The sequence below is a fragment of the Homo sapiens genome, chromosome 10 (genome assembly GCF_000001405.40).
Source record: "Homo sapiens chromosome 10, GRCh38.p14 Primary Assembly".
NCBI lineage: Eukaryota > Metazoa > Chordata > Mammalia > Primates > Hominidae > Homo > Homo sapiens.
In genome coordinates this window covers 124780621-124800284 of record NC_000010.11, presented here as the reverse complement: position 1 = coordinate 124800284, position 19664 = coordinate 124780621, and the positions used below count along the sequence as shown (strand labels likewise).

At 45.4% G+C, this 19664-nt stretch overlaps 1 protein-coding gene across 4 annotated transcripts in view, besides 4 other annotated features; it reads left to right on the top strand.

Moving 5' to 3' along the window:
• Positions 6999–7721: an enhancer, noted in NCBI's record as "H3K27ac-H3K4me1 hESC enhancer chr10:126481133-126481855 (GRCh37/hg19 assembly coordinates)". NCBI's record gives its function as "activates a minimal SCP1, AML or CMV promoter by ChIP-STARR-seq in primed H9 embryonic stem cells {active_cell/tissue: H9 hESC(primed)}" and the evidence as "EXISTENCE:reporter gene assay evidence [ECO:0000049][PMID:30033119]".
• Positions 7722–8446: an enhancer, noted in NCBI's record as "H3K27ac-H3K4me1 hESC enhancer chr10:126480408-126481132 (GRCh37/hg19 assembly coordinates)". NCBI's record gives its function as "activates a minimal SCP1, AML or CMV promoter by ChIP-STARR-seq in primed H9 embryonic stem cells {active_cell/tissue: H9 hESC(primed)}" and the evidence as "EXISTENCE:reporter gene assay evidence [ECO:0000049][PMID:30033119]".
• Positions 7785–8094: an enhancer, noted in NCBI's record as "active region_4186". NCBI's record gives its function as "activates an Ori minimal core promoter by ATAC-STARR-seq in GM12878 lymphoblastoid cells {active_cell/tissue: GM12878}" and the evidence as "EXISTENCE:reporter gene assay evidence [ECO:0000049][PMID:35858748]".
• Positions 8225–8284: a silencer, noted in NCBI's record as "silent region_2919". NCBI's record gives its function as "represses an Ori minimal core promoter by ATAC-STARR-seq in GM12878 lymphoblastoid cells {active_cell/tissue: GM12878}" and the evidence as "EXISTENCE:reporter gene assay evidence [ECO:0000049][PMID:35858748]".
• EEF1AKMT2 (EEF1A lysine methyltransferase 2) overlaps positions 8398–19664 on the top strand; it is a 35635-nt gene continuing 24368 nt past the window's right edge. For 2 of the 4 annotated variants that reach the window (NM_001416243.1, NM_212554.4), the window contains exons 1-3: positions 8398–8561; positions 9947–10012; positions 11128–11242. In NM_001416243.1, the coding sequence (NP_001403172.1) occupies positions 8452–8561; positions 9947–10012; positions 11128–11242 (291 nt within the window). In that variant the 5' untranslated portion in view covers positions 8398–8451. Of the gene's footprint in view, positions 8562–9946; positions 10013–11127; positions 11247–19664 lie in introns of all 4 variants that reach the window. The other 2 variants (NM_001304468.2, NM_001304467.2) reach the window with 1 other exon arrangement.

The window sequence follows — 19664 nt, the reverse complement described above, 5'->3', positions numbered from 1 at the left end:
CGCTTGAACCCGGGAGACAGAGATTGCAGTGAGCCGAGATTGTGCCACTGCGCTCTGGCTCTGTCTCAAAGAAAAAAAAAAGGAAAAGAAAAAAGGCAACATTTACAAGCTCAAGGATGAAAGGATGGAGGAAATTCAGGCAAATAAACAGTTTGGTATAGTAGTGACATAATTTGATAACAGATAACACAATCACTTTGGCTGCAGAGTTGAGACTGTAGCGTCTTGGGGTGGGAGGGAAGTGAAACGGTGGTTCAAGTCACCATCATCTCTCTCTCTCAGAATTTTGTATCCTCTTACTCAGGGAGTCCGAACTGGTGGCAGTTTTGCCTCCCAAAATGGCATGTGGCAATGTTTGGAAACATTATCAGATATCATAATTCGGTGTCAGGTGCCACTGGCATCTGGTGGGTGGGTAGAGGCCAGAGAAGTGGCTAAACGTCTTACAGTGCACAACAACAGGCCCACAATGAAGAATTATCATCAGTGGTGACAAGGCTGAGAAACCCAGTGTTCCTGCTTCAGCTTTTAATCCCCTCCTTGCCAAATCTATGCTCAACATAGCAAGATGGTCAACATTTAAATGTAAGAACTAAACCATGTTGCTTCTTGGCCAAACACCAAATCTTGCCAAGACCTGGCCCCTATTACTTGTCTGACTTTATTACCTGCTACTGCCCCCTTTATTTACCGAGCTTCAGCTACATTAGTCTTCTTTCTGCTTCCTGGACGTCCCTAGCTCATTCCACTTTAGGGCCTTTGTGCTTGCTGTTTTCTTTGCTTGGGATGCTCTTCTCCCAGGCAGCTGCATGGTTTACTGTTTCTGCCCTAGATGATTTGATGTGCCACCGAGACCTCCTGTCTGCCTTGCAGGATTGATTGATTGCTGCAGGTCAGCTCTCTCCTATAAGTATACCTAGTTGAAGAGAGCTTCATTGCCTAAGGCCAGTCCTCCCTTTGTGGGCATCCAGCATTCAATGCCTGGTCGGGGTAGATGAAAAAAGGGAGGGCCAGGAGGGATTTGCTGAAATTCTGTTGTAGTGGTACCTCAGTCCAACTACTTCATTCAGCCAATCCTGCTTCTTTTTCTTCTCCAACAGATGATGATTCTCAGAGTACTCCCTAATCAACTTCCTCCCTGTTCATCTCAGTGTCACACTTTGCTCCCTGGGAACCAAACCTATGACAACCTCTTTTAGGTTTTCACTCAGTGCTGCCACCCCCTCAGAGAGTCCTTCCCTGGTACCCTATCAAGGATTGCAACCTTCACCCCATGTTCTCAATAGTACTTCCCTGTTTACTTTTCCCTTTACCACTTATCATCTAGCAGCAACGCTGTGTTATTCATCTTTCCTGTCCATTGTCTTTCCCCCTCTTCGAGCATGTTCTGAACTTCACGAAGACAGGGATTCTTCTTTTTTTTAATTTTTGTTTTTAGATATAGGGTCTTGCTCTGTCACCCAATAGCTCACTGCACGTCAAACTCCTAGACTCCAGTGATTGTCCTGCCTCAGCCTCCTGAGTAGTTGGGATTACAAACAAGAGACTCCACACCTAGCAAAGACAGGGATTCCTGCTTATTTACTGTTGCATCTCCATCATCTGGAATAATGGCTGGCATGTAAATGTTGCCAGATACAAGACTGTTGAATGAACACTGCATGAAAAAGTGGGAGGGTTTTAGGGAAGATAGCTGTGTTTGATCAGCAGGGTGCTGGAGGGGGATGGAAACAGAAGCAGCTGATAAAAAGCGTAGGCTTGCTAATAAGGAGGTGCCTAGGTTTGCTCACTGAAGAAACCATTTGGGATGTAGGAGATGAGAGAGGAAAGAGGCAGATGAACTGGGAAAATTTAGGGGGTGAAGGAGAAAGAGGATGAGAAGAGGAGATGAGTGGCTACAGTGAGATTCTGGACTTTGGGGACAGAGAGATGAGAATAAAGAATTTTTAGGCTCTGACCCGGCTCGGTGGCTAACACCTGTAATCCCAGCAATTTGAGAGGTCAAGGCAGGTGGATCGCTTGAGCCCAGGAGTTCAAGACCAGCCTGGGCAACATAGTGAGACCCCCATCTCTACAGAAAAAATTAAAAAATTAGCTGGACATGGTGTTGGGCACCTGTAACTCCAGCTACTTGGGAGGCTGAGTTAGGAGGATCGCTTGAGCCCAGGAAGTCGAGGCTGCAGTGAGTTAAGTGATCATGCCACTGGGCTGGGTGCAGTGGCTCATGCCTGTAATCCCAGCACTTTGGGAGGCAGAGGCGGGCAGATCATTTGAGGTCAGGAGTTCAAGACGAGCCTGCCAACATGGTGAAATCCTGTCTCTACTAAAAAGACAAAAAAAATGAGCCAGATGTGGTGGCATGTGGCTGAAATCCCAACTAGTCAGGAGGCTGAAGTGGGAGAATTGCTTGAGCCCAGGAGGCAGAGGTTGCAGTGAGCTGAGATCATGCCACTGCACTCCAGCCTGGGTGACAGAGTGAGACCCTGTTTAAAAAAAAAAAAAAAAAAAAGATCATGCCACTGCGCTCCAGCCTGGGGGATAGAGTGAGACCTTGTCTCAAACAAACAAACAAACACACAAAAGAAAATCTTCAGCAAAACACCTATAGTGATAGAGCACACTCATGTAGTGGTTATGCTTGAAAACTTTATGATAGATTGCTTGGGTCCCAGTCTCAGCTCCAGAACTTACTTCTATGTGCCGTAGTTAGCTCATCTGCAAAATGAGGCTAATACTAGTATCTACCTCATGTGGCTATCTTTTTTTTTTTTTTTTGATGGAATCTTGCTCTGTCACCCAGGCTGGACTGCAGTGGCGCGATCTCGGCTCACTGCAACCTCTGCCTCCTGGGTTCAAGCAATTCTCTTGCCTCAGCCTCCCGAATAGCTGGGATTACAGGCACCCACCACCACGCCCGGCTAATTTTTTTGTATTTTTAGTAGAGACCGGGTTTCACTGTGTTGGCCAGGCTGGTCTCGAACTCCTGACCTCGTGATCTGCCCGCCTCAGCCTCCCAAAGTGCTGGGAATGTGGCTATCTTTAGGAGTAACTGAAATAATATATTGGATGCGCTGAAAACAGTTCTTGGCACACAGTGACAGCTGTACGATTGCTAGCCATCATTTCTATCATCATAAATTAGTTTAAAAGGTAAGAGATCTATAGGCATTGACAAAAAAGATCTCTAAGTACAATATATCACTGGAATATTGTTAAATGAAGATGTAAAATGCAAACATGCAAATAGTAATATTCCATTTATATATATATCAATACAAAGCAAAGCATTTCTGCATGAGAATGCCACACTTTGCTATGATGGGCCTGAAAGTGGGAACAAGAAAATCCAGCTTCATTTGGATTATGCCCATTTGAGGAAACTGCGACTTAAGATGTTTAAATTAAGTAACTCACTCAAGGTCATACTTTGTATGGAGTAAGTTGTGATTCAAGTTCAAGTCAGTTTGCCTGTACAGTCCATGATCAGGCAGGAGAATGCAAAGGAAAGGAGTGAGGGGTGTCAGGCACTGAAGGAGAGGAAAACTGGGCAAGTCTTGGAGGCCTTTCAAGAGGTAATGGGAAACAAGGCATAGCTGGGGCCTGAGAAGGAGCCAAGTGCCAAATGGCTCCTGGAAGGTTTACTCAGAAGCTGCTGCAATGGCCTGAGTGGCCAGAAGGAAGGCAGAGCAGTGGTGACAGGCTGGAGAAATGCCTGAGCCCAGAGACCAGTCCTGACCAAGAAGAGCAGTGCAGGGAGGAAAGGAGGAAGATGATGCTCCACTTTGGGTGACAGGGTAGATGGTCAGGGATCAACCAACCGCAAACACAGAGGAGAAAGGGTTTGGTGGGGAGGCATGGTGGGGGGGTGGTAATGCAAGTGAGTTCAGTGTTGAACACATTGAGTTTAATGTAGCAAGGGACATCCAGGCAGCTGCAATACAATAAAATAAGAGAAAATACAAATCTGGAGGGAGAGCGAGGTTGGAATCAGAAGTCACTAACACAGGCATATGAAAAGGTGCTCAACATCACTGATCATCAGAGAAATGCAAATCAAAACTACACTGAGATATCATCTCACTCCAGTTAAAATGGCTTCTATCCAAGAGGCAGGCAATCACAAATACTGGCGAGAACGTGGAAAAAAGGCAACCCTTGTACACTGTTGGTAGGAATGGAAATTAGTAAAATCATAATGGAGAACAGTTTGGAGTTTCCTCAAAAGAGTAAAAATTGAACTACCATATGATCCAGTAATCCCACTGCTGGGTATATACCCCAAAGAAAGGAAATCAGTACATTGAAGGGATAACTGCACACCCATGTTTGTTGCAGCAGTGTTTACAGTAGCTAAGGTTTGGAAGCAACCTGAGTGTCTAACAACAGATGAATGGATAAAGCAAAAGTAGCACATAGACACAAGGGAGTACACAAAAAAGAATGAGGGCCAATGTTGTCTGTCTGCCAAGACAACAGAAACATGATCATTTGCAACAACGTGGATGGAACTGCAGATCATTACGTTAAGTGACATAAGCCAGGCACAGAGACAAACATCACATGTCCTCACTTACTTGTGGGATCTAAAAATCAAATCAATTGAACTCATGGACATACAAAGTAGAAGGATGGTTACCAGAGGCTGGGTAAAAAAAAAAAAAAAAAAAAAAAAAAAAAAAAAAAAAAAAATGAATAAGACCTACTATTTGATAGCACAATAGGGTGCCTATAGACAATAATAACTTCATTGTATATTTTACAATAACTTAAAGAATGTAATTGTATTGTTTGTAACTCAAAGGATAAATGCTTGAGGGGATGGATACCCCTTTCTCCAACGTGCTTATTTCATATTGCATGCCCGTATCAAAACATCTCATATACCCCATAAATATATACACCTATGTACCCACAAACATTTTATTTTATTTATTTATTTATTTTTGAGACGGAGACTCACTCTGTCGCCCAGGCTGGAGTGCAGTAGCGCGATCTCGGCACACTGCAAGCTCCGCCTCCCGGGTTCAAGAGAATTCTCCTGCCTCAGCCTCCTGAGTAGCTGGGATTACGTCACCATGCCCAGCTAATTTTTGTATTTTTAGTAGAGACGAGGTTTCACCATGTTGGTCAGGCTGGTCTCGAACTCCTGAGCTCATGATCCTCCTGCCTCGGCCTCCCAAAGTGCTGGGATTACAGGCATAAGCCACTGCGCCCGGCCCCACAAAAACTTTAAAAAATAATTTTAAAAAATTAACAAAAGAAGTCACTAACAATAAGAATGATAATTAATATCTACTGAACAGACTGTATCAGGCTCTGTTCTACACTCTGTACATGCACGGTCTATGAACTTATCTAATCTTCCTAACAACACTCTGATGTAGGCCGATTTTATTTCATTAATTTTTTTTGCCAGAGAACAGATTTAATACCTAATGAAGTAGGCCCCTTTTATTTTATATTTTATTTTATGTATTTATTTTTGAGATAGAGTCTCATTCTGTCACTCAGGCTGGAGTGCAGTGGCACGATCTCAGCTCACTGCAACCTCCACCTCCAGGGTTCAAGCGATTCTCCTGCTTCAGCCTCCTGAGTAGCTGGGATTACCGTTTCTCGCTCTGTTGGCCAGACTGGAGTGCAGTGGCGGGATCCCGGCTCACTGCAAGCTCCGCCTTCCGGTTTCACGCCATTCTCCTGCCTCAGCCACCAAGTAGCTGGGAGTACAGGAGCCCGCCACCACGCCCAGCTAATTTTTTTTTTATTTTTAGTGGAGACGGGGTTTCACCGTGTTAGCCAGGATGGTCTTGTTCTCCTGACCTTGTGATCCGCCCGCCTCGGCCTCCCAAAGTGCTGGGATTACAGGCGTGAGCCACCGCACCCGGCTGACCTAAAACTTTTAAAGCCTCACTCAGCCCCACTCAAGCTTGCTTTCTCTAGCATCTAGAACCTAGAAAAGATCAAAACAACCGCTTGCCCAGGGCAGCACTAATTGGCCGGGTCATCCGGTGGTTTTATTGCTCTGTAATAAGGTTACCTAAGTTCTTTCTTGAATTTTATTTTATTTTATTTATTTATTTATTTTTGAGACAAAGTTTCACTCTGTCGCCCAGGCTGGAGTGCAGTGGTGCAGTCTTGGCTCACTGCAACCTTCGCCTCCCTGGTTCAAACAATTCTCGTGCCTCAGCCTTCTGAGTAACTGGGATTACAGGCGACTGCCACCATGCCTGGCTAATTTTTGTCTTTTTAGTAGAGATGGGGTTTCGCCATGTTGGCCAGACTGGTCTCGAACTCCTGACCTCAGGTGATCCGCCTGCCTCGGCCTCCCAAAGTGCTGGGATTACAGGCTTGAGCCACTGCGCCCGGCCTTTACTTTAATCATTACGCACAAGGATTTCCATCTGCCTTTTTTTTTTTTTATTATTGGAGACAGAGTCTCACTCTGTTGCCAGGCTGGAGTGCAGTGGCGCAATCTCGGCTCACTGCAATCTCCGCCTCCCAGGTTCAAATGATTCCCCTGCCTCAGCCTCCCAAGTAGCTGGGACTACAGGCGCGCGCCACCATGCCTGGCTAATTTTTTGTATTTTAGTAGAGACAGGATTTCACCATTTTGGCCAGGATGGTCTCTATCTCCTGACCTCGTGATCTGCCTGCCTTGGCCTCCCAAAGTGCTGGGATTACAGGCGTGAGCCACCGTGTCCGGCCTCCTGTCTGCCTTTTATCTTACCCTATCACTAGTGGCTGCCTGAAGATCTCAGAACAGCATCTATAGGAGATGCGCATCCGATCCTAGGAAGGATTTCTGATGCTATTTTATCTTTAGGGACTTGTTACTGGGCTTCTGTCTGCCAAGACAACAGAAACGTGGCCTAGCAAACAATTCCTTTTGGTTGGAAGGCAGTCTCGCTAGGGGCATTTGAGGGCCTTGCCTAGGACATAGGACCAGCAGTATTTCACAGCTACTACAGAAAATACCCCAGACTTTGGCCCATAAGATCTCTTGTATTATACTGCAGATCTACCAATGGCACTCAGACCCAGAGGCAGATGCAATCTCCGGTTCGCGGGTTGGGAGCAGTTTTGTGGAACAAAGACACCGTCTAGTTCTGACATGGTACAGGGAGGAAACACACAGAGGTTAAGACTTAGACAAGAGGCCAGGCGCGGTGGCTCACGCCTGTAATCCCTGCACTTTGGGAGGCTGAGGCGGGAGGATCACTTGAGGTCGGGACTTCGAGACCAGCCTGACCAACATGAAGGAACCCCGTCTCTACTAAAAATACAAAATTAGGCCGGGCGCGGTGGCTCACGCCTGTAATCCCAGCACTTTGGGAGGCCGAGGCGGGTGGATCACGAGGTCAGGAGATCGAGACCATCCTGGCTAACACGGTGAAACACCGTCTCCACTAAAAAAAATACAAAAAATTATCCGGGCGTGGTGGTGGGCGCCTGTAGTCCCAGCTACTCCGGAGGCTTAGGCAGGAGAATGGCGTGAGCCCGGGAGGCGGAGCTTGCAGCGAGCCGAGATCGAGCCACTGCACTCCAGCCTGGGCGACAGAGCGAGACTACGTCTAAAAAACAAAACAAAACAAAATTAGCCTGGCGTGGTGGCGCCCGCCTGTAATCCAGTTACTCGGGAAGTTGAGGCAGGAGAATCGCTTGAACCCGGGAGGCGGAGGTTGCGGTGAGCCGAGATCGCGCCATTGCATTGCACTCCAGCCTGGGCGACAAGAGCGAAACTTCGTCTCAAAAAACAAAACAAAACAAAACAAAACAAAACAAACTTAAGCAAGGCCAGGTGCCTGGGTCGAGGCAGAGCTGAGGCTTATCCGGGCATCCTCTCACTTAGCAGTCTTTCTTCCACAACACACTGATCCCCGTGTTTGGCGTATTGTGGAGAGTTGCAGGGCATTCCTTTCCCTGGACATAAATTTCCACGTCTACCGGTGACATCAAGTCACAAGAGGCCAGAACGCGGTTTTCAAGTCAGAATCTTAGCCAGAAACGAAGTTGGCCTCTTGCCAAGGAGCCAAATAACTGGATGGACGCTCGCACCCGCTTCGCAGACAGGCGCACGCAGTGGAGAGGTGAAGTGATTTCTGCGTTTGGGTAGAGCGGCGTCGGCTTTAGGTGTCCACGGTGCGGAAGCCAGCCGTTTTCCAAAATGCAATACCTCTAATGGTCCCTCACGAACAGCAGTCCCCAAATACAGCCGCTCTTGGACCTCGACGAAGGGGATGCCACTAACGCTGTGGGGAGAGCGCACGGTCCCCGCCGGCGCAGGGAGCCGGGGGTAGAGCAGAGGGCGTCGCGTCCCCATCCCAGCCCCAGCGCGGGGGCTGGAGCAGTCGAGAGGGCGGCCTCCCGCCGCCTAGAGGCGCCGGTCCGCTCGTCCGCTCTGCCTGTGCCCCGTCTCTATGGCGGCCCCAACGGCCGTCCAGGACGTGGAGCGAAATGAGCTCGGGCGCTGACGGCGGCGGTGGCGCTGCGGTGGCGGCGCGGTCGGACAAGGGCAGTCCCGGGGAGGACGGTTTCGTCCCGTCGGCGCTGGGGACCCGCGAGCAGTGAGTGTGACGCTGGGCAGGGGAGGATGAGCCGTGCCGCCCTGCCTGGGCCCCGAGAAGGGGACGGCGGGGTGGAGACCCGGGGCTCAGGGACAGGGAGACCCTCGGGGGCGTGACGGGAGCAGGGCCACCTGGCGGGGGGCTTACGGGGATTTCAAAGAGTGGAATCCCTAGGGGTCGCCCTACGCGGTTAACCGACGTTTCAAGGGATTGGAGCCCAAGGGGCTTGTGGGTGCGGGACAGGCTTTGGCTCCTGGGAGGCCTTTTGGGAGTCTCGAACCTGAGGGCCAGGCTTGGGGGAAAGGGGGAGAGGGCGAGGCTGGCGAATAGGGCTGGTCGGCGAGAGTGAGAGACCGAGGGAGAAGTGCTGGGCCTGGGAGCCGAAAAGGCTGAGTAGGAGGGGAGGGATGTGGGAGCTGGAAGTGGGGTGGGAATAGCGGATGACCCGAGGCGGGAGCGGGGAGATAGTGGGGGATCTTGGGGTGAAAGAAAGCGATCTGACCTCAAACAGACGCTCAGGAATTATTAAATGAATTAATGTGGGTGGATGAATGGCTGCAGGGAACAGTTGGGGAGAGGTAAATTGGCGGGATGAGAGGGAGCAGGGATTCTAGAGAATCATTGTAGGAAAAGAGACGGCAAATGAAAAGGATTCAGAGGGCCGGGTGCGTGGTGGCTTACGCCTGTAATCCCAGCACTTTGGGAGGCCGAGGCGGGCGGAGCACAAGGTCAGGAGATCGAGACCAGCCTGACCAACATGGTGAAACCCCGTCTCTACTAAAAATACAAAAATTAGCGGGGTGTGGTGGCGCACACCTGTAGTCCCAGCTACTCGGGAGGCTGAGGCAGGAGAATCGCTTGAACCCGGGAGGCGGAGGTTGCAGTGAGCCGAGATCGCGCCACTGCACTCCAGCCTGGTGACAGAGCGTGACTCCGTCTCAAAAAAAGAAGAAAAGCGTCCAGAGAAAATTTAAACGGAGGGCTAGAAGACTGGAATAGGCAGAGACAAATAGCACAGGAAAGAGACTGTGTGCCTGCACACTTGAGACCAGATGTGCTTGTTTCATCAAGTTTTGAACTTGGGTCAGGGACTTAGGGATACGTGGACAAATGTCTTTGTGTTTTTTTAGGCTAAAACTTATTGTTGTGCATCAGATATTGTCCTAAATGCTTTACATGTACAGTATAAACGTATTCTGCTTGCCCATGTATTTCCTTCTTTTAACTCAAGGACGTTAAAAGATTGAACTATGTGTATTTATTAATAACACTAGTGATGTTTAAACCTCTGTCATAAATAGCTCTGTAATGTATTAGAAACATACATTTAATTCATAATACAGTTTAATTCAAGAGTCTTGCTTTGCATTTCATTGTTTACATAGTTGGGATGCTGTCTATGAGAGAGAACTGCAAACTTTCCGAGAATATGGAGATACAGGTGAAATCTGGTGAGTTAGGAAAAGAATCAAGTTATAATCTAGAAGATTATATGTATATGTGTGTGTGTTTAAAAAAATACGTATATATTCGCCGGGCGCGGTGGCTTACGCCTGTAATCCCAGCACTTTGGGAGGCCGAGGCAGGCAGATCACGAGGTCAGGAGATAGAGACCATCCTGGCCGACATGGTGAAACCCTGTCTCTACGAAAATTAGACAAAAAATTAGCCAGGCATGGTGGCGCGCGCCTGTAGTCCCAGCTACTTGGGAGGCCGAGGCAGGGGAATCATTTGAACCTGGGAGGCGGAGATTGCAGTGAGCTGAGATCGCGCCACTGCACTCCATCCTGGGCGACAGAGTGAGACTCCATCTCAAAAAAAAAAATGCATATATTCAAGTGCTTATACCCAAAGAAAGCCTAAAAATCCTGGGAACCCTGGATTAAGTCTGGCTTTAGTGGGTAGATTTAAAGTATGTCTCTTCTTTTATTCTTTTTTAATTTTTTACTTTTTTTTTTTTTTTAGAGAGGTGGGGTGTCATTCTGTCATCCAGGCTGGAGTACAGTGGCATGATCATCATAACTCGTTACATCCTGGACCTCCTGGGCCCAGGTGATCCTCCCGCCACAGCCTCCTGGGTAGCTGGGACTATAGCTGCATGCCATCATGCCCAGCAAATTTTCTTTTTTGTAGAGACAGGGTCTCACTGTGTTACCCAGGGTGGTCTCGAACTCCTGGCCTCAAGCAGTCCTCCCACCGTGGCCTTCCAAAGTGTTGGGAGAATGGGTGTGAGCCCTCTTTTAATATCTCACATTTACGTTTGATGACAGCATTTCACCCTATAGTTGTCCTTTGTCAATAAACAATAAAATTCTGAGACACCAACACATACAACTGTTAATGCTGATATAGAGAAATGTTAGTAAATAACATACTGACCTTGTCTATTCTGTTGTATTCCTGGAGGTGGTTTCTCCTAAATTACAGTAGAGACAAAGCTGAAGCAGTCACAGATGTTTTCACTTTCAAATAAGAGTTTGAGCATATGGTATAAATAGCTTAAATGGAATATAGTGGTGACTTTTGCTCTGTATCCCTCAGTTATTTGACTGATTCTCTCTAACAGGTTTGGAGAAGAGAGTATGAATCGACTAATAAGGTGGATGCAGAAACACAAGATTCCACTGGATGCTTCAGTGCTTGATATTGGAACTGGAAATGGTGTTTTCCTGGTTGAACTTGTTGGTACTTTTAGTATTTGTTTGTTAAAGACAAATTTTAAAAGGAAAATTTTTAAAGGCCCTGCAATTGAGGATATTAACCATCTAAATATAAAATAGTAAAGCAGTCATACTTGGAGAAGTCAGATAGTACAAAAGGGAGGCTACATGGATTGTGAGAGAACCTAGGCAATCTGAGTCCTAGTCTTGACTCTTTTGGCTATAGTCTTAACCTTGAGTAAGCCACTTAATTTTTCTAGGCTTCTGTTCTTTCCTAAGGGTTGTGACTAGGTGATTGCTATTGGTTTCTTGTAGCTCAAAACTCTAGAAATGCATATATATATATATATATAAAGATGACCTTTTGCAATTCCAGTAGGACATACGTATCTTATCTTATAGGTAAGCATATGGTTTGAAAAGTGCATTTTGTCCATGGAACTGTGTTTCGGTAAACATTCCACTGCTAGCTAAACCATCACTGTTGTATGCCTGCAGTGTGCTCTTGCTATGCTGTGTGCTGTGGAGGAATTATAAGACTTAGGCTTCATCCTAGATAATTTTACAGTCTTAATTAGTACAGAAATAAACATAAGAGTGAAATTTGTTAAGTAACCACCACATGCCAAGCCTCATGTTTGGCATTGGCAACAGGAAAATTTAGACTTTGTGCTTGAATTGTTTACATTACAATAGAGTATGGACTGACATATGGACAGTTGTGCCATCACTTGATGCATGCAGTAATACACTGAATATAGAAAAGAGGGTGATTAATTTTGGAGTGGAGGGGTAGGGAAGCATCTTGGAGGAGTAAATATCCAAGTTGGGTGGAAATTTCAGGGACAGTTTGGTGACCTAGTGGCGTGTAAAGAGGGAGAAGATTTCAACTAATGGAAATATTATCTAAAGGCCTGAAGGCTGAAGCAGTATTTTATGTTCTGGGCCTGTAAATAATTTGATAAATTGAAATACAAAGTATACGTGGGGATGGACAGACATGAGGATTAAGTTAAAGATAGGAACCATATTATGCTTTGCCATGCTTAAGACCTTCGATTTTGCATTTAGGCTATGGGGAATTGTTAAAATGTTTTTAGTAGTGGAATATGATTAGAAGAACTTGAAATAACCCTTCTTGAAACATTGAGATATAGTGTGTGTACATTAAAGTGCACAAATCAGAAGTATACAGCTAAGTGAATTATCAGAAAGTGAATACATCCACATAACAATCACCTGGTCAAGATGTAAAATATTATAGAACTCTAGAAATTCCCCTTGAACTCTCTACCAATTATTACTCCTTTCTTCCTTTTTTTTTTTTTCAGGCTTTGTCACCCAGGTAGGAGTGCACTGGTGAGATCATGGCACATTGTAGCCTCAACCTCTCAGGCTCAAGCGATCCTGTCGCCTCATATTTTGATTTTTTTTGTAGAGACAAGGTTTCACTATGTTGCCCAGGCTGGCCCTCCTTCCTTTTTAAAAGTAACCACTATCTACCAATCATGAACAAAAGATGAGTTTTAACATCAGATTAATTTGCCTGTTTTTGAAGGTATAAATGAAACTCTTTAGGGTGTGCTATTCCTGGTGTCTTTCAGGCTTTTTTTTTTTTTTTTTTTTTTTTGAGACAGAGTCTTGGCTCTGACACCCAGGCTGGAGTGCAGTCTCACGATCTTGGCTCACTGCAACCTTCACCACCTGGGTTCAAGTGGTTCTCGTGCCTCAGCCTCATGAGTAGCTGGGATTACAGGCGCACGCCATTATGCCTCGCTATGTAGTTCATTTTTATTGCCATATAAGATTCCTTTGTGGCTGGGCGCTGTGGCTCATGCCTGTAATCCCAGCGCTTTGGGAGGCCAAGGCAGGTGGATCACAAGGTCAGGAGATCGAGACCATGCCTTGGCTAACACGGTGAAACCCCGTCTCTACTAAAAATACAAAAAGTTAGCCGGGAGTGGTGGTGGGCGCCATATAGTCCCAGGTACTCGGGAGGCTGAGGCAGGAGAATGGTGTGAACCCGGGAGGTGGAGTTTGCAGTGAGCGGAGATCAGCCTGGGCGACAGAGTGAGACTCCGTCTCAAAAAAAAAAAAAAATTCTTTTGTACAATTATATCAGTTTCATTTATTCTTTCTTTACCTGTATAGGTTCTTTTGGGTTTTAATAGTTTACTGGTAGAGGCTAATGATTTATACTTTGAGATTAATAGCTTGTAGATTATTTTCTTTTCTTTTTCTTTCTTTTTTTTTTGAGATGGAGTTTCACTCTGTAGCCCAGGCTAGAGTGCAGTGGTGCGATCTCAGCTCACTGCAGCCTCTGCTTCCTGGGTTCAAGCGATTTTCCTGCCTCAGCCTCCTGAGTAGCTAGGATTACAGGCGTACACCATGCCTGGTTAATTTTTGTATTTGTAGTAGAGATGGGGTTCTGCTATGTTGGCCAGCTGTTCTCAAACTCCTGACCTCAGGTAATCCATCTGCCTGCCTCAGCCTCCCGGAGTGCTGGTATTATAGGTGTGAGCCACTCTGCCTGGCCTGAACTTCTTTTTTTTTTTTTTGAGACGGAGTCTCACTCTGTCCCCCAGGCTGGAGTGCAGTGGGGCGATCTCGGCTCACTGCAAGCTCCGCCTCCCGGATTCACGCCATTTTCCTGCCTCAGCCTCCTGAGTAGCTGGGATTACAGGCACCCACCACCACGCCTGGCTAATTTTTTGTATTTTCAGTAGAGACGGGGTTTCACTGTGTTAGCTGGGATGGTCTCGATCTCCTGACCTCGTGATCTGCCCGTCTTGGCCTCCCAAAGTGCTGGGATTACAGGTGTGAGCCACCACGCCCGGCCCTGAAATTCTTAATTGAAGTGTAGTTTATGTAGAAAGGTGAGCATAAGTGGTACAAAATGAACCCCTTGTGTTATTCACCAACCTGACCAAAAAATAAGACATTTCTAGTACCATAGGAGCTTCCTTGTGGCCCCTCCCACTCCTTCCCTTCTAAAGGTGACCACTGCTGTCACTTCTATCATCATATAGTAGGCTGTTTTTGATATTAACTGTAGTAGCTTCTTACGGTTTTAATTTGCATTTCTCTAATGAGTAATGAATGATGTTGAGCACCTTTTCAGGTGCTTGTTTGCCACTTGTGTATCTTTTTTTTTTTTTTTTTTTTTTTGAGACAGAGTCTCGCTCTGTTGCCCAGGCTGGAGTGCAGTGGCATGACCTCGGCTCACTGCAACCTCCACCTGCAGGGTTCAAGTGATTCTCCTGCCTCAGCCTCCTGAGTAGATGGGATTACAGGTGCGCGCCAGCACGCCTGGCTAATTTTTTTGTATTTTTAGTAGACATAGCGTTTCACCATGTTGGCTAGGCTGGTCTCGAACTCCTGACCTCAGGTGATCTACCCACCTTGGCCTCCTGAAGTGCTTGGATTACAAGCGTGAGCCACCACGCCTGGCCTGTTTATCTTCTTTAGTAAAATGTCTCTTCAGATCTTTTGCCCATTTTTAAATTGGATTGTTTACTTATTAAGTTTTGACAATTTTTAACGTATTCTGGATATAAGTTCTTCACCAGGTACAAGATTTGCAGATGTTTTCTTCTATTCTTTGGCTTATCTTTTCATTCACTTAACAGTATCTTCTGAAGAGCAGTTCTTAATTTTGATGAAGTCCAATTAATTTTTTCCTTTTTTGGATCATGCTTTTGTTGTAGTATTAAAGGACTCTGCCTAACACAGGGTCACTTAGAACTTCTTCTGTGTTTTTGTTTAAAGTTTTAACACTTTACCTTTTACATTCTTTTTTTTTTTTTTTTTTTTTTTTGAGACGGAGTCTTGCTCTGTCACCCAGGCTAGAGTGCAGTGGCATGATCTTGGCTCACTGCAACCTCTGTCTCCTGGTTTCAAGTGATTCTTCTGCCTCAGCCTCCCGAGTAGCTGGGGCTACAGGAGCGCAACACCACGCCTGGCTAATTTTTGTATTTTTAGTAGAGATGGGCTTTCACCACATTGGCCAGGATGGTCTAAAATGCCTGATCTCGTGATTTTCCCCCCTTGGCTCCCCAAAGTGCTGGGGGTGCAGGGGTGAGCCACCGCGCCCAGCCTACCTTTTACATTTAGACCTTTTTTTTTTTTTTTTTAAGATGGAATCTTGCTCTGTCTTCCAGGCTGTAGTGCAGTGGTGTGATCTTGGTTCACTTCAACCTCTGCCTTTGGGGTTCAAAGAATTCTCCTGCCTCAGCCTCCTGAGTAGCTGAGATTATAGGTGTGTGTCACCATGCCCCGCTAATTTTTGTATTTTTAGTAGAGACAGCGTTTCACCATGTTGTCCAGGCTGGTCTTAAACTCCTGACCTCAGGTGATCCACCCATCTTGGCCTCCCAAAGTTCTGGGATTACAGGCGTGAGCCACCCTGCCCTGCCTATTTTTATGTTTTTAATTTCATTGAGTTCTGTTCTTTTTTTTTTTCTTCCTGATTTTACTTTGTTCCTTTTTTTACTTTCTTAAGGTGGAAGCTTAGGTTATTGATTTGAGACTTTTCTAATGAAATTATTTAATGCTATGAATGCTATGAATTTATCAGTAAGCACTGCTGCATCCCACAAATTTTGATATGTTATATTTTAAAAAATTGTTCTACACCTCACTTGAATTTTTTTTTAAATTGTTGATTTGTTGTATTTTTATTCAGTCCAAAATATTTTCTAATTTTTCTAATTTTTTTTAATCCACGAGTTATTTAGAAATTTGTTTAATTTCCATGTTTTTGGGATTTTTCTGTTATGTTTCTGGTACAGATTTATAGTCTAATTCAGTTATAGTCAGATAACATGCCTTATATGATTTGTATGATTTCAATCCTTTTAAATTTGTTAAGGTTTGTTTTAAGACCCAAGATACAGTGTGTCTTGGGGAATTTTTCATGTGAACTTGAAAAATGTATGTATTGCCAGGTGTGGTGGCTTACACCTGTAATCCCAGCATTTTGGGAGACTGAGGTGGGCAGATCACCTGAGGTCAGGAGTTTAAGACCAGCCTGACCAACATGGAGAAACCTTGTCTCTACTAAAAATATAAAATTGGTTGGGCGTGGTGGTGCATGCCTGTAATCCCAGCTACTCGGGAGGCTGAAGCAGGAGAATCACCTGAACCTGGGAGGCGGAGGTTGCGGTGAGCCGAGATTGCACCGTTGCACTCCAGCCTGGGCAACTAGAGTGAAACTCTGTCTCAAAATAAAATAAAATAAAATAATTTAGCCAGGTTTGGTTGGTGGCAAGTGCACCTGTAGTCCCAGCTACTTGGGAGGCTGAAGTGGGAGGATCACCTGAGCCTGAGGAGGTCGAGGCTGCAGTGAGCCATGATTATGCCACCGCACTCCAGCCTGGGTGACAGAGTGAGACCTTATCTCCAAAAACAAAGGAAAATTCATATGTAAGTTTTTGTGTGTACATATGTTTTCACTTCTCTTGGGTATTTACTTAGGAGTGAAATTGCTGGGTCATACGCCAGTTAAGCATACTCGGTAAGTTTAACCTTTTAAGGAGCTGCTGGACCATTTTCCACAGTGGCTGCACCATTTTAAATTTCCATCAGCAATACATGAGAGTTTAAATTTCTCCATATTCTTGGCTGGGCACAGTGGCTTATGCCGGCAATCCTAGCACTCTGGGAGGCCAAGGCCGGTGGATCACTTGAGGTCAGCAGTTTGAGACCACCCTGGCCATCATGGTGAAACCCTGTCGCTACCAAAAGATACAAAAATTAGCCAGACGTGGTGGTGTTTGCCTGAGTAGTCACAGCTACTCAGGAGGCTGAGGTGGGAGAATTGCTTGAACCTGGGAGGTGGAGGTTGCAGTGAGCCGAGATGGCCCCACTGCACTCCAGCCTGGGAGACAGAGTAAGACTCTGTCTCAAAAAAAAAAAAAAAAAAAAAGGTTTTTCCCTATATCCTCACCAATACTTTTTATTATCTATCTTTTAAATTATAGCCATCCTAGTGGACATGATGTTCAGCCCCTTTTTGTTTAGTTTTTACATGTTATATTGTTTTCCATCCTTTTAACTTACCTTATTATTATATTTGAAGTGAATTTCTTGTAGCCAGCATATAGTTGGTAGTTATTTTTATCTATTCTAACAATCTCTAACCTTTAACTGGTGTATTTAGAACATTTATGTTCAATGTGATTATTGATACGTTTGGATTTAGGTCTACATTTTATTGTTTTCCCTTTTTTACCTCTGTTTTTTTTTTTTTGAGACAGAGTTTCACTCATGTTGCCCAGGCTGGAGTGCAATGGAGGGATCTTGGCTCACTGCAACCTCCACCTCCTGGGTTCAAGTGATTCTCCTGCCTCAGCCTCCCTGAGTAGCTGGGATTACAGGTACCCGCCACCACACACGGCTACTTTTTGTATTTTTAGTACAGACGGGGTTTCGCCCTGTTGTCCAGGCTGGTCTTGAACTCTTTTTTTTTTTTTTTTTTTTTTGAGACGGAGTCTCGCTCTGTCGCCCAGGCTGGAGTGCAGTGGCGCGATCTCGGCTCACTGCAAGCTCCGCCTCCCAGGTTCACGCCATTCTCCTGCCTCAGCCTCCCGAGTAGCTGGGACTACAGGCGCCCGCTACCACGCCCGGCTAATTTTTTGTATTTTTAGTAGAGACGGGGTTTCACCGTGTTAGCCAGGATGGTCTCGATCTCCTGACCTCGTGATCCTCCCGCCTCGGCCTCCCAAAGTGCTGGGATTACAGGCGTGAGCCACCGCACCCGGCCGGTCTTGAACTCTTGACCTCAGGTGATCTGCCCGCCTCAGCCTCCCTTTGTGCTGGGATTACAGGCTTGAGCCACTGTGCCTGGCCTTACCTCTGTTTTTTATTCTTCTCTTTTTCCTTTCCTGCTGGTGTTGGTTTATTTGAACATTTGTTAGTATTTCATTTTAATTTATGTGTATCTTCTTGAATATATCTCTTTGCGTATGGCTGTTTTAGTGGTTGCTTTAAGCAGTTGACTGTGTCTTTTGGTGTGGCTTTTCTAGTGGTTCCTGTGTAGATTACAATATATATAGTTGTCAAAATCTCCTTGGAATCAGTATTTTACCACTATAAGTGGAATGTGAAAACCTTATCATGTTGGGTTCTTGATCTTTCACCTTTATGTTGTAGTTGTCTTTACTATTACCTTTATGTTGAAAATTCCATTAGATAATATTATGATTTTTTTCAAACATTTTAAGGAATGCACTAGGAGAAGAATATTTAATTATATTCACCTAGATATTTATTTCACCTTTGTATTCTGGATCTCCTGAGCTTTTTTTTTTTCTTTCTGTCTAAGAAATTCTTCTTGGAAATTATTTTAGAGAGGGTTTTCTTGCAACAAATTTTTTTTGTTTTCCTTTACCTGAGAATAGCTTTATTTCACCTTCATTCCTAAGGAGTGTTTTTTTTTTTTTTTTGGCTGAATATAGAATCTTTTTTTTTTTTGAGACACAGTCTCACTCTGTCACCCAGGCTGGAGTGCAGTGGCACAATCTCACAATCTCGGCTCACTGCAACCTTCGCCTCCTGGGTTCAAGCGATTGATTCTTCTGCCTCAGCCTCCCGAGTAGCTGGGATTATAGGTGTCCACCACCACACCCGGCTACTTTTTGTGTTTTTAGTAGAGATGGGGTTTCACCATGTTGGCCGGGCTGGTCTCGAATTTCTGACCTCGGATGATCTGCCTGCCTCAGCCTTCAAAAGTGCTGGGATAACAGGCGTGAGCCACCGCAGCCGGCCTGAATATAGAATTCTGAGCTAGCCGTTTCTTTCAGTACTTTAAAAATGTTATGGGCTGGGCACGGTGGCTCACGCCTGTAATCCCAGCATTTTGGGAGGCCGAGGCGGGCAGATCACGAGGTCGGGAGATCGAGACCATCCTGGCCAACATGGTGGACCCCCATCTCTACTAAAATACAAAAAATTAGCCGGGCGTGGTGGCATGCCCTTGTAGTCCCAGCTACTCAGGAGACTGAGGCAGGGGAATAGCTTGAACCCGGGAGGCGGGGGTTGCAGTGAGCCAAGATCGCGCCACTGCATTCCAGCTTGGCAGCAGAGCAAGACTCCGTCTCAAAAAAAAAAAGTTACGTCACTTGTTTTTGACTTCCATGTTTTCTCATGAGGAATCTGCAGTCATTTGAATTGTTGTTTTCCTATGAATGCATCATTTTTCTAGATGCTTTTAAGATTTTTTTTCTTTGTCTTTTGTTTTTTGCAGTTTGCTTATGATGTGTGCTGTGGCTTGGATTTCTTTGGCTTATCCTATTTGGTGTTCACTGAACTTTTTACATCTGTAAGCTTATGTCTTTTGCCAGATTTGCGATATTTCTAGCTTTTGTTTTTTCTATTTTTTTTTTCTGTATTACTGTCTTTCTCCTTTCATTTTGGGAGTCTATACACATGAAATGTCAATTTT